We start from the raw sequence: 15,179 nt of genomic DNA, 5'->3' as shown, positions 1-15,179 counted from the left end.
TATCATGGGGGGATATTACTCCTAATATCGAAGTGGGTGTACACCCTGTGATTTATTCATAGTGTCTTAGGGAGATATTACTTCTAATATCACAGTGGGTGTATACCTTGTGATATTATTTGTAGTATCTTAGGGAGATATTACTCCTAGTATCACAGTGCATGTACACCCTGTGATATTCATAGTACGTTAGGGAGATATTACTCCTAATATTACAGTGGGTATACACCCTGTGAAAGTATTCATAGTACCTTAGAAAGATATTATTCTTAATATCACAGTGGGTAGACAGCCTGTGATATTATTCATAGTATCTTAGAAAGATATTACTCCTAATATCACTGTTGGTGTACAGCCTGTGATATTATTCCTAGTATCTAAGGGAGAAAGTACTTGTAATATCACAGTGGGTGTGCAGCCTGGGATATTATTTGTAGTATCTAAGAAACATATTACTCCTTATATCACAATGGCTGTACACCCTGTGTTATTATTTGTAATATCCTAGGGAGATATTACTCTTCATAGCACAGTGGGTGTACACCCTGTGATATTATTCGTAATATTATTACGAATATTAGGAAAATATTAGTAATATCCTAAGGAGATATTACTCCTGATTTCACAGTGGGTGTACACCCTGTGATATTATTTGTTGTATCTAAGAAAGATATTACTCCTAATATCACAGTGACTGTACACCCTTTGACATTACTTGTAATATTTTAGGTAGTTATTACTCCTAATATCACAGTGGGTGTACACCACTTCTGTGATATTGTTCCTAATATTCAAAGGTGAAGAGGATAATATTATTCCCAATATCGCAGAGGGCGTACACCCCCCTGTGATATTCTTCCTAATATTTAAAGGAGAGAGGCTGAAATTACTCCCAATATCACAGGGGGTGTACACTTTCCCTGTAATATTGTTCATAATATCTAGTAAGGAGAGGATGATATTACTTGTAATATCACAGGGGGTGTACACTCCCCCTGTGATATTATTTATATTCAAGGGGAGAGAAGATGATATTACTCCCAATATGGCAGGGAGTGTACACTTTACCTGTAATATTGTTCATAATATTCAGGGAGAAAGAGGATGATGTTACTTACAATATCGCAGAGAGCGTACACCTTCCCTTGATATTGTTCCGAATATCCAGGGAGGGAGAGGATGTTATTACTCACAGTATTGCAGGGGATGTACACCCCTTCTGTGATATTGGTCCTAATATCCACGGGGAGAGAAGATGATATTACTGTCAATATTGGACGGGGTATACGCCCCCTGATGATATTATTTCTCATATCCAGTGGCAGAGAGTATGACTTACTCCCAATATTGCAGGGGGTGTACACCCCTTTGTAACATTGTTTCTAATATCTAGGCGTGGGGGGAGGATGTTATTACTCCCAATATCACAGATAGTGCACACAGCCCCTGTGATATTGTTTATAATATTTAGGGGGCGAGAGGGTGATATTACTTCCAATTTTGCTGGAGGATGTTCACATTTTCTGTGATATTATTATTAATATCCACGGGAGGAAAGGATGATATTACTCTGAATATCACAGGGGGTGTAGACCTCCCCGGTGATATTGTTTCTTATATCCAGGGGAGCAGAGGATGATATTACTCCCAATATCGCAGTGGGCGTATGCCCCTGCTGCGATACTGTTCTTAATATCCAAGGGAGAGAGGATAATATTACTCCCAATACCGCAAGGAATGTACACCCCCCTGTGTCATTGTTTCTAATATCCAGGAAGGGAGGGTGATATTACTCCCAATATCATAGCACGTGTACACCCTCCCCCTTTGATATTGTTTACAATATCCGGGGGGGAGAGGATGATATTACCTCTAATATCGCAGGGGGTGTACACTCCCTCTGTGATATTGTAATATCCTAATATGCAGTTGAAAAGAGGAGGATATTACTCCCAATATTGCAGGGTGTATACACCCCCCTGTGACTTTTTTTGTTTGTTTTGTTTGTTTTGTTTTGTTTTGTTTTGTTTTGTTTTGTTTGAGACAGAGTCTCGCTCTGTCGCCCAGGCTGGAGTGCAGTGGCACGATCTCGGCTCACTGCAAGCTCCGCCTCCTGGGTTCACGCCATTCTCCTGCCTCAGCCTCCCGAGTAGCTGGGACTACAGGCGCCAGCCACCACGCCTGGTTAATTTTTTTTTTTTTTTTTTTTTTTAGTAGTGACGGGGTTTCACCGTGTTAGCCAGGATGGTCTCGATCTCCTGACCTCGTGATCCGCCCACCTTAGCCTGCCAAAGTGCTGGGATTACAGGCGTGAGCCACCACGCCCGGCCGATATTGTTCTTAATATCCAGAGGGGGAGAGGATGATATGACTTCCAACATCGCAACTGGTGTACATCTTTCCTGAGACATTGTTCCTAATATCTAGGCGGGGAGGGAGAGGATAATATTACTTTCAATATCGCAGGGGGTGTACACCCCCCTCCCCGTGATATAGTTTCTAATATCCAGGGAGGAAAGGGATAATATTACTCCCAATATCATAGAGGGTGTACACACCCCCCCTTTGATATTGTTCCTAATATCCAGGGAAAAAGAGGATGATGTTACTCCCAATATCACAGAGGCTGTATACCCCCGTGTGATATTGTCACTCATATCCAGTAGGGGGGAGGATGATATGTCTCCTAATACCATAAGGGGTGTACACACACTCTGTGATATTGTTTATAATATCCGAAGATATGAGAGGGTGATATTACTTCCCAAATCGGTGGAGGTGTACACCCTCCCTGTGATATTGTTCCTAACATTCAGGGGTGGGAGAGGATGATATTACTCTTAATATTGCAGGATGTGTACACCCCCCCCCCCGTGATATTGTTCATAAAATCCAGGGATGGAGAGAATAATATTATGCCCAATATTGCTGGCATTGTACACTCCCCTGTGATATTGTTCATAATAATAACCCATTATTATTATTGTGATATTCAGTGGGTGAGAGGATACTACTTTGAATATCGCAGAAAGTGTACACCCCTCTGTAATATTATTTTTAATATCCAAGGAAATGAAGATGATATTGCTCCCAAGATAGAAGGAGTTTTACAACCGCCTGTTATGCTGTATGTAATATCCAGGGGGAGAGAGGATGATGTGACTCCCACTATCGTAGGGGGTGTACTCCCCTCTGTGATATTGTTCATAATATTCAGGGGAGAGAAAATGATATTTTTCAAAATATCGCATGGGGTGTACATCCCCCTGTGATACGGTTCATAATATCCAGAAGGGGAGAAAATAGTATTACTTTCAATATCGCAGGGGGTGTACACTCTCTGTGATATTGTTCGTAATATTTAGAAGGGTAGAGGATCATAGTATTCCCAATATTTCAGGAGGTGTACACCCCTCTGTAATATGTTTCTAATATCCAGAGGGGAAGAGGATATTGTTACTTTCAATATCTCAGAAGGGTGTACAACCCCCCCCCCCCCCGTGATATTGTTTCTCATATCCAGAGGTGAGTGGATGATATTAGTCCCAATATTGCAGGGAGAACGTACACCCCTTCTGTGATATTGTTACTAATATCCAGGGGGGGAAAGGATGATATTACTCCCAATATCGCAGGCTGTGTACACACCCCTGTGACATTATTCGTAATATCCAGTGTAAATAGGAAGATACTACCACCAATATCACAGGAAGTGTGCAGCATTTCTGTGATATAGTTCCTAATATCCAAAGGTGGAGAGAATAACATTACTCCCAATATCGCAGGGGTTGTACACCTCCCCTGTGATATTGTTCTCAATATCCAGGAAAGGAGAATATGGTATTACTTCCCATATCGCAGGGAGTGTAGAGCTGCCCATGATATTCTTCCTATATCCAGGAAGGGAGAGGATATTACTCACAATATTGCAGGACATGTACACGCCTCCTGTGACATGGTTCCTAATTTCCAGGGGGAGAGGAAGGTGATATTACTGTCAATATTGCAGGAAGTGTATACACCCCCTGTGATGTGGTTCCTAATATGCAAAGAAGGAAAGGATGATATTACTCTCAAAATCGCAGGGCGTGTACACATGCCTGTGATATTGTTCATAAGGTCCAGGGTGGAGAGGAAGATATTACAACCAATATCCCAGAAAGTGCACAGCACTTCTGTGATATTGTTCCTGATTTCCAGGGGAGGAGAAGGTGATATGACTGTCAAAATTGCAGGAAGTGTATACCTGTCTGTGATGTGGTTCCTAATATCCAAGAGTGGAAAAAAAGATATTATTTCCATTATCTCAGAGGGTCTAAACCCCCTCCTGGTGATATTGTTCGTAATATCCAGTGAGGGAAAGATGATATTAAACCCAATATCGCAAGAGGTATATACTCCCCTGTGATATTGCTACTAATATCCAGGAAAGAAGAGGGTGATATTACTCCTCATATCTCAGCTGGTGTACACATCCCTGTGTTATTCTTCCTAATATCCGGAAAGGAGAGAATGATATTTCTCTTTATATTGCAGGGGGTGCAGACTCCTCCATCATATGGAGATGATATTTCTTCCAGTGTCGGAAACACGGCGAACGAGAGGGGCGAACAGCCATGGCTCCTAACAGTCAGGGCGGGATAGGAGGGTTAGTCCCCATATCGCGGGGGTCGTTCACCCCTCTGAGATGTGGTTTGTAATATCCAAGAAGAAATTGTATAATATTACTCTTTATGTCGCGCGGGGTGTACACCGTCCTTGTGATATGATTCGTAATATTCGATTTGGATTTGGTGATGTTATTCCCCATGTCGCTGGCGGTGTTCACCCCACTGTGATATAATTTATAATTTCCAGGGTTGGATAGGGTGATACTACTTTTTATATCACGGTGGGTGTTCCATCCTCTCTGATGTGGTTCTGAATATCCAAGAGGAAAATGTATAATACTACTCCTTATATCGCACGGTGTGTACACCTTTTCTGTGACATCGTTCGTAATATCCGGTGGGGAATTAGTGATAGTACGCCCCGTATCATCCACCCGTGTTATGGTTTGTGACATCCAGAGAGGGAGATGGTGACATTTACTACCCATATAGCGGGGGGTGTACATTCACCTGCGATAGGGTTCATCACATACAGAAGCGGGGAGGTGGTATTTACTACCCGTATAGCGGGGGGTGTACACTTTTTTATGATGTTGTTCGTAATATCCAGGATGAGAGACGATACTATTGCTCTCCATATCGCTGGGGGTATAAAACGTCCTGTGATATGGTTTTTTAATATTCAGAGGGGTCGTGGCTGATATTTCTCACCATACCTCATGGTGTACACCTTCATATGATATTGTTCATAATATCCAGGGGTGGAGAGGATGATGTTGCTACCCATATTACAGGGGGTGTAACCTCCTTGCGATATTGTCGGTAATATTCAGGGGTGGAGAGGATGATGTTATTCCCCACATTGCAGTGGGTTTACAAAATCCTGCGATATTATCCTTAACATCCCGGAAACAGAGGATGTTGTTACTCACCATATCGTAGGAGGTGTACACCCCCCTGCGATATTGTCTGTAATATCCAGGGTGGAAGAGGATGATATTACTCCCAATATCACAGAAAGTATAAACCCCCTTGTGCTATATTTCATCATATCCAAGAGTGAGGAGAATGATATTACTCCCCATACCACAGGGAGTGTACACCTCCCTGTGCTATTGTTCATAACATCCAGGGAGGGAGAGGATGATATTACACCCAATATTGCAGGAAGTAATATCCAGGGAGGAAGAAGATGATATTACTCCCCCTACCGTAGGGGGCGAGCACCCCCCCATTTTATTTTTCATAATATCCAGGGAGGGAGAGGATGATATTACTCCCAGTATCGCAGGGGATGTACACCCCCCTGTGATATTGTTTGCAATATCCAGGAAGACAGAAGATTATATTACTCCCCATATCACAGTAGGTGAACACCCCCCTATGATATTGTTCATAATATCCAGGGGGTGAGTGGATGATATTACTCTGCATATCGCAGGGGTTGTACACCCCCGTGAGATATTGTCTGGAGTATCCAGGTGAAGAAAGGATAATGTTACTTCCCATATCGCAGGGGGTGTATATAGTCCCTAATATCCAGCGGGGAAAAGGATGATGTTACACCCCATATCACAGGGAAATATTTTCCTAATATCACAATGGGTGTACACACCATGTGTACACCCAAAAATATTATCCATAATATCCTAAGGAGATATTACTCTCCTAATAACTTAGTGGGTGTACACCATATGTGTACACCTTAAGATTATATTTGTAATATCCTGAGGAAATATTACACTTCTAATATCACAGTGAGTGTATGCCATGTTTGCCCAACCTGGGATATTATTCATGATATCCTGGGGAAATATTTCTCTTTGAAAATCACAGTGGGTGTACACCACGTGTGTGCACCCTCTGATATTATTCATAATATCAGAGGGAGATATTATCCGAGGGAGATATTATTCGTAATATTGTAGGGAGATATTACAGCTAATATCACAGTAAATGTACACCATGTGTGTACACCCTGTGATATTAATAATATCCTAGGGAAATATTACTCCTAATAGCACAGTGTGTGTACACCATGTGTGTACAGCCTGTGATATTATTTGTAATATCCTAGAGAGATATTTCTCCTAATAGCACAGTGTGTGCACCCCTTGTGATAATATTTGTAATATCCTAGGGAGATATTACTCCTAATATCGAGTGTACACCCTGTGATATTATTCATAATATCTTTCGAATATATTGCTTCTAATATCACAGTGAGTGTACACCTTGTGATATTATTTGTAATATCCTCTGGAGATATTACTTTTATATCACAGTGGGTGTACACCATGTGTGTACACTCTGCGATATTATTCATATTATCCTCCAAAGATATTACTCCAAATATCAAAATGGGTGTACACCATGTGTGTACACTCTGAGATATTATTTGTGATATCCTCGGGAGATATTTCTTTTAATATCACAGTGGGTGTACACCATGTGTATACACTCTGCTCTATTATTCATAATATTCTTGGGAGATGTTATTCCTATTATCGCAGTGGGCATACACCATGTGTGTACACCCTGGGATACTATTTGTAATATCCTTGAAAGATATTACTCCTAATACCAAAGTGTGTGTTCAACCTGTGTATACCCCCTGGGATTGAATTCGTAATATGATGCAGAGATACTCCTTATAGTATCACAGTGGGTGTACAGCATGTGTGTACACCATGGGATAGCATTGGTAATATCCTGGAAAATATTACTCCTAATATCACAGTGACTTAGGGAGATATTACTCCTAATATCACAGTGCGTATACTCCATGTGTGTACACACTGGTATAGTATTCATAACATCCCGGGGGATATTACCCTTCATATCACAGTGGGTGTACACCATGTGTATATATCCTGTTATTGTATTCTTAATATTTTGGGGAGATATTACTCTAAATATCACAGTGCTTACACCATTTGTATACACCCTGTGATAATATTCATAATATCCTAAGAAGATATTTCTCCTAATATCACAGTGGGTGTACACGATGTGTGGGATAGTATTTGTAATATTTTATGGAGTTACTACTCTTAATATCACAGTGGGTGTACAACGTGTGTACACCCTGGGATATTATTCATAATATCTTGTTGAGATATTACTCCTAATATCACAGTGGTTGTACACCATGTGTGTACACCTAGGATAGTATTCATAATATCCTGGGGAGATATTGCTGTTAATATCACTGTGGGTGTACACCATGTGTGCACACCCTGGGATAGTATTTGTAATATTTTGGGAGATATTACTTTTAATATCATGGAATATTATTCATAAAATACTGGGGAGATAATGTCACTGTGGATGTACACCATGTGTTTAAACCCTGAGATAGCATTCATAATATCCTGTGGAGATATTAGTCCTAATATCACAGTGTGTGTACACCCTCGGAAAGTGTTTGTAATATCCTGGAGCGATATTTCTACTAAAATCACAGTGAGTGTATACCATATATGTACACCCTGGGATAGTATAGTATTTGTAATATCCTGGGGAGCTATTACTTCTAATGTCACGGTGGGTGTACATCATGTGTGTACACCACTGGATAGTGTTTTTAATATACTGAAAAGATATTACTCGTAATATCACAGTGGTTGTGCACCATATGTGTAGAGCCTGGTATAGCATTCGTAATGACATTGGGTGGTATTACTGGTGATATCACAGTAGTTGTGCAATATGTGTGTACATCCTGAGATAGTATTCATAATATTCTGAGGAAATATACTCCTAATATCACATACATGGTGTAGACTCTGTGACAGTATCCATAATATCCTAAACGGATATTACCCCTAATATTATGGTGGGTGTAAACCATGTGTGTGCACCCTGGGATAGTATTCGTAATATCCTGGAAAGATATTACTCCTAATATCACAGTGGGTGTACACAAGGTGTGTACACCCTGGGATAGTGTTCATAATATTCTGGGGATATATTACTCATAATATCACAGTGGGTGTATGCTATGTGTGTACACCCTCAGGTAGTATTCATAGTATTCTTGGGTGATATTTCTTCTACTATGACACTATGTGTGCCTATTATTTCTTCTAATATGACACTATATGTGTACACCAGGGATAGTATTCATAATATCCTGGGGAGCTATTACTCCTAATATCACAGTAGTTGTACACCATGTGTGTACACCCTGTTTTAGTATCTGTAATATTTTGGGGAGATATTCCTCCTAATATCACAGTGTGTATACATCATGTGTGTACACCCTGTACACCCTCATATACTATTCATAATATCCTGGTAAGATATTACTCCTAATATCATGGTGGGTGTACACGATGTGTTGGATAGTACTCAAAATGTCCTCGAGAGATGCTACTCCTAATATCATAGTGGGTGTACAACATGTGTCTACACCCTGTAATAGTATTCGTAATATCCTTGGGAGATATTACTCCAAATATCACAGTGGCTGTACACCAGGTGGGTACACCCTGGGAGAGTATTCACAATATCCTGGGAAGATATTACACTTAATATCACAGTGGGTGTACACCATGTGTGTACACCCTGGGATAGTATTAGTAGTATCCTGGGGAGAGATATTACTCCTAATATCTCAGTGGGTGTACACACATGGTGTATACATTATTCGTAATATGCTGGGCAGATATTTCTCCTGATATCACAGTTGGTTTACATGACGTGTGTACACCCTGGGACATTATTCATAATATCCTAAAAAGATATTATTCCTAATATCACAGTTGTTGTGCACCACATGTGTACACCCTGGGACATTATTTGTAATATCCTGGGGAGATATTACTCCTAATATCACAGTGGGTGTACCCCATGTCTGTACACCCTAGGACATTATTGTAATATCCTGGGAAGATATTACTCCTAATATCAAAGTGGGGGTAGGTACACCATGTGTGTACACCCTGGTATATTATTAGTAATATCTGGGGTGATATTACTCCTAATATCACAAAGAGTGTACACCATATGTCTGCACCCTGGGATAGTAATCATAATATCCTGGGGAGATACTACTTATAATATCACAGTTGGTGTACACCATGTGTGTACACACTGGTATAGTATTCGTAATATCCTGGGGAATATTACTCTTAATATCACAGTGGGTGTTCACTATGTGTGTACACTCTAGGATAGTATTTGTAATATCCAGGGGAGATATTACTCCTAATATTACAGTGGGTGTACACGATGTGTGTATACCCTGGGATACTATTATTAATATCCTTGGGAGATACTACTTTTAATATCGTGTGTGTACACCATGTGTGTACACACTGGTATAGCATTTGTAATATCTTGGGGAGGTATTACTCCTAATATCACAATGCTTTTACACCATGTGTGTACACCCTGGAATAGTATTAGCAATATCCTGGCAATATATTACTCCTAATATCACAGTGGGTGTATACCATATGTGTATACCCTGAGATAGTATTCATAATTTCCAGGGAGATATTACCTTTAATATCTCAGATGGTGTACACCATGTGTGAACACACTGGGATATTATTTGTAATATCCTGGGGATATATTATTTCTAATATCACAGTGGATGGACACCCTGGGATATTATTTGTAGTATCCTGCAGAGATATTACTCTTAATATCACAGCAGAGTGTACACCATGTGTGTACACCCTAGAACACTATTCATAATATCCTGGGGAGATATTATTCCTAATATCACAGTGGGTGCACACCATGTGTGTACACCCTGGGACAATATTCACAATATCCTGGAGAGATATTACTCCTAGTATCACAGGGGGTGTACATCAAGTGTGTACACCATGGGAAATCATTTGTAATATTCTGGGGAGATATTACTTCTAATATCACAGTTGGTGTATACGATGTGTGTATACCCTGGCACATTATTGATAATATCCTGAAAAGATATTACTCCTAATATCACAGTGGGTGTACACCATGTGTGTTCACCCTGGGACATTATTTGTAATATCCTGAGAAGATATTACTCCTAATATCACAGTGGGGGTACACTGTGTGTGTACACCCTGAGATATTATTAGTAATATTCTGGGGAGATATTACTCCTAATATCACAATGGGTGTACACCATGCATGTACACCCTTGTATAGTCTTCATAATATCCTGTGGAGATATTACTTATAATATGACAGGGGGTGTACACCGTGTGTGTACATGCTGGTATAGTATTTGTAATATTCTGGGGGATATTAATTTTTTTTTTTTTTTGAGACAGAGTCTCGCTCTATCACCCAGGCTGGAGTGCAGTGTCGCGAACTGGGCTCACTGCAAGCTCTGCCTCCTGGGTTCATGCCATTCTCCTGCCTCAGCCTCCCGAGTAGCTGGGACTACAGGCGCCCGCCACCACGCCCAGCTAATTTTTTTATATTTTTAGTAGAGACGGGGTTTCGCCATGTTAGCCAGGATGGTCTCGATCTCCTGACCTCGTGATCCACCCACCTCGGCCTCCCAAAGTGCTGGGATTACAGGCGGGAGCCACCGCACCCAGCCTTAATCTTAATATGACAGTGGGTGTACACCATGTGTGTACTGTTTGGGATATTATTTGTAATATCCAGAGCAGATATTGCTCCTAATATCACTGTGGGTGTGCAGGATGTGTGTTCACCCTGAGATAGTATTTGTAATAGCTTGGGGAGATATTACATCTAATAACATAGTAGGTGTACACCATGTGTGTTCACCCTGGTATAGTATTCGTAATATCTTGGGGAAATGTTACTCCTAATATCACAGTGGGTGTACACCCTGGAATTCACAATATTCAGGGAAGATATTACTCCTAATATCACAGTGGGTGTACAACATGAGTGTAAACTCTGAAATAGTATTTGTAATATTCTGAGGAGATATTATTTTTAATATTACAGTGAGTGTACACCATGTGTGCACACACTGGGATATTATTAGTAATATCCTGGAAGGATACTGCTCTTAACATCACTGGGATATTATTTGAAATATCCTGAAGAGATATTTCTTCTAATATCACAGTGGGTGTACACTCTGGGAAATTATTTGTAATATCATAGGGAGACATTACTCTTAATATCACCTTGGGTATATGCCATGTGTACACCCTGGGACATTATTTGTAATATCCTAAGGAGATATTACTCCAAATATCACAGTGGGTGTACACTGTGTGTGTGCACTCTGGGACATTATTTGTAATATCATGGGGAGATATTATCATTAATATCATAGTGAGTGTACACTGTGTGTGTACACCCTAGGACATTATTTGTAATACACTAGGGAGATATTACTTCTAATATCACATTGAATGAACATCCTATGTGTACATCCTGAGATATTATTTGTAATATCCTGGGGAGATATTACTCTTAATATCCCAGTGGATGTATACCATGTGTACATGCTGGGACATTATTTGTGATACCCAGAAAAATATAACTTTTAATATCAGAGTGGGTGTACACCATGTGTGTACACCCCAGGACATTATTTGTAATATTTTTGGGGGATATTACTGCTAATATTACAGTGGTGTACACCATGTGTGTACACCCTGGGAAGTTATTTATAATAACCTGGGGAGATATTACTCCTAATATCACAGTGGGTGTACAGCCTGTGTGTACACCCTAGGACATTACCCGTAATTCCCCAGGGAGATAGTACTCCTAATTTCACACTGGGTTTGCATCGTGTGTGTACACTCTGGGACATTATGCATTATATTCTGGGGAGATATTTCTCCTAATATCACAGTGGGTGCGCACCATGTGTGGTCACCCACTGTGACGTTAGCAGTAATATCTACTGTGATATTATTTGTAATATCCTAGGAGGATGTTATTTCTAATGTCACAGGTTATGTACCCCTTTTTGATACTATCAGTAACATTTTAGGGATATGTTACTCCTAATGTCACAGGGGGTGTACACCCTTTGATATTATTCTTAATATCCCAGGGGGATGTTACTCCTAATGTCACAGGGTGTGTATACCCTGTTATATTATTTGTAATATTTTAGGGTGATGTTACTCCTAATATCACAGGGGGTGTATACCCTGTGATATTATTCGTAATATTGTAGGGGAATTTTAATCCTAATATTACAGAGGGTGTACACCCTGTGATATTATTTGTAATCTCCTAGGGTGATGTTACTCCTAATGTCACAGGGCATGTAAACCTGTGATATTATTCTTAATATCTTAGGGGAATGTTAATTCTTAGGGGGATGTCACAGGGGATGTACACCCTGTGGTATTATTCCTGATATTCTAAAGAGATGTGTTCCTAATGTCACAGGGGGTGTCCACCATGTATGTACACCCTGTGATATTATTCGTCTTATCCTTGGAAGATGTTACACCTAATGTCACAGTGGGTGTACACCATGTGTGTACATTCCCTGTGATATTATTCCTAATATCCTCTGGGGATTTTACTCCTAGGATGTTACTCACAGGATGTACACTCTGTGATATTATTGATCATATTCTAGAGAAATGTTACCCCTAATGTCACAGTGGTTGTACACCATGTGTGTACACCTTGTGATATTATTCATCATGCCCTAGGGGGATGTTACTTCTAATGTCACAGTGGGTGTATACCACGTGTGTACTTCTTGTGATAGTATTCATAATATCCTAGGGTAATATTACTTCTCTTGTCACAGTGGGAGTACACCATGTGATATTATTCATAATATCTTAGGGGGATGTTACTCCTGATTTCACAATGGATGTACATCCTGTGATATTATTATTATTTATTTTTTATTTTGAGATGGCATCTCGCTCTGTTACCCAGGCTGGGGTGCAGTGGCACAATCTCGGCTCACTGCAAGTTCCACCTCCCAGGTTCACACCATTCTCCTGCCTCAGCCTCCCGAGTAGCAGGGATTACAGGCACCCACCACCATGCCTGGCTAATTTTTTTGTATTTTTAGTAGAGACGGGGTTTTACCGTGTTAGCCAGGATGGTATCAATCTCCTGACCTCATGATCCACCCGCTTAGCCTCCCAAAGTGCTGGGATTACAAGCATGAGCCACCACGCCCGGCCTGTGATATCATTTTTAATATATTAAGGGGGATATTACTCCTAATGTCACAGTGGGTGTACACCCTGTGATATATTTCATAATATCCTATGGAGATATTACTCCTAATGTCACACTGGGTATACACCTTGTGATATTATGCATAATATTCTAGAAGGATATTAATCCTAATATCACAGGAGGTGTACACACTGTGATATCACTTGTAGTATTCTAGGGGGATATTACTTCTAACTTCACAGGGGATGTATGCCCTGTGATATTATTCGGAATATCCTAGGGAGATATTACTCTTAATGTCACAGAAAGTGTACACCGTGTGTACACCCTGTGATATTATTCCTAATATCCTAGGGAGATATCACTGCTAATGTCACAGGGGGTTTACACCATGTGTGTACACCCTGTGATATTATTCCTAATATCCTAGTGAGATATTACTCCTAATGTCACAGGAGGTGTACACCGTGTGTGGACACTCTGTGACATTCATAATATCCAAGGGAGACATTACTTCTAATGTCACAGAGATGTACATCATATGTGGACACCCTGTGATATTATTCATAATATTCTAGGGAGATATTACTCCTAATGTCACAGGGGGTGCGATATGGATATTTCATTAATATCCTACTGTGTTAACACTAGATAATATAAATGTCATGGATACTTTCTTAATGGCATAGTGTGTTAGCACCCTGTGATAACATTAGATATTATGAATATCATAGATATATTATTAGTATCACATGTGTTAATACTACATAGTATAAATATCATGGATATTTTATTAATACCATAGTGTGTTAACACTGGATATTTTATTAATATCATAGTGTGTTAACACTAGATATAAATATCATGGAAATTTTATTAATGTCATAGTTTGTTAACACTGTGTGTAAACAGTAGATATTATAAATGTCAGATATTTTGTTAATATCATAGCATTTTAACACTAGATATTATACATATCATAGATATTTTATTAATATAGTGTGTTAACACTAAATATTACAAATGCCATAGATATTTTATTAATACTGTAGTGTTTTACCACTAGATATTATAAATGTCTTGGATAGTTTATTAATTTCATAGTGTGTTACCTCTAGATATTATAATTATCATGGCTATCTTATTAATATCCATGATATTAATTCCTGAATATTATGCATATTTTATTAATATCATTGTGTTTTTACACTAGATATTATAAATGTCATGGATATTTTATTAATATCATAGTGTGTTAACATTTGATATTATAAATACCATGTGTATTTTATTAGTATCATACTGTGTTAACACTAAATATTATAAATGTCATAGATATTTTATTAATAGCATAGTGTGTTAACCCTGTGTGTTAAGACTATATATTATAAATATGGATATTTTATTAATATCATAGTGAGTTAACAGTGTGTATTAACACTAGCTACTATAAATATCATAGAT

The sequence above is a fragment of the Homo sapiens genome, chromosome 16 (assembly GCF_000001405.40).
Source record: "Homo sapiens chromosome 16, GRCh38.p14 Primary Assembly".
Classification (NCBI taxonomy): domain Eukaryota; kingdom Metazoa; phylum Chordata; class Mammalia; order Primates; family Hominidae; genus Homo; species Homo sapiens.
The sequence above is the reverse complement of the archived record's forward strand: the minus strand, read 5'-3'. Positions refer to the sequence as shown.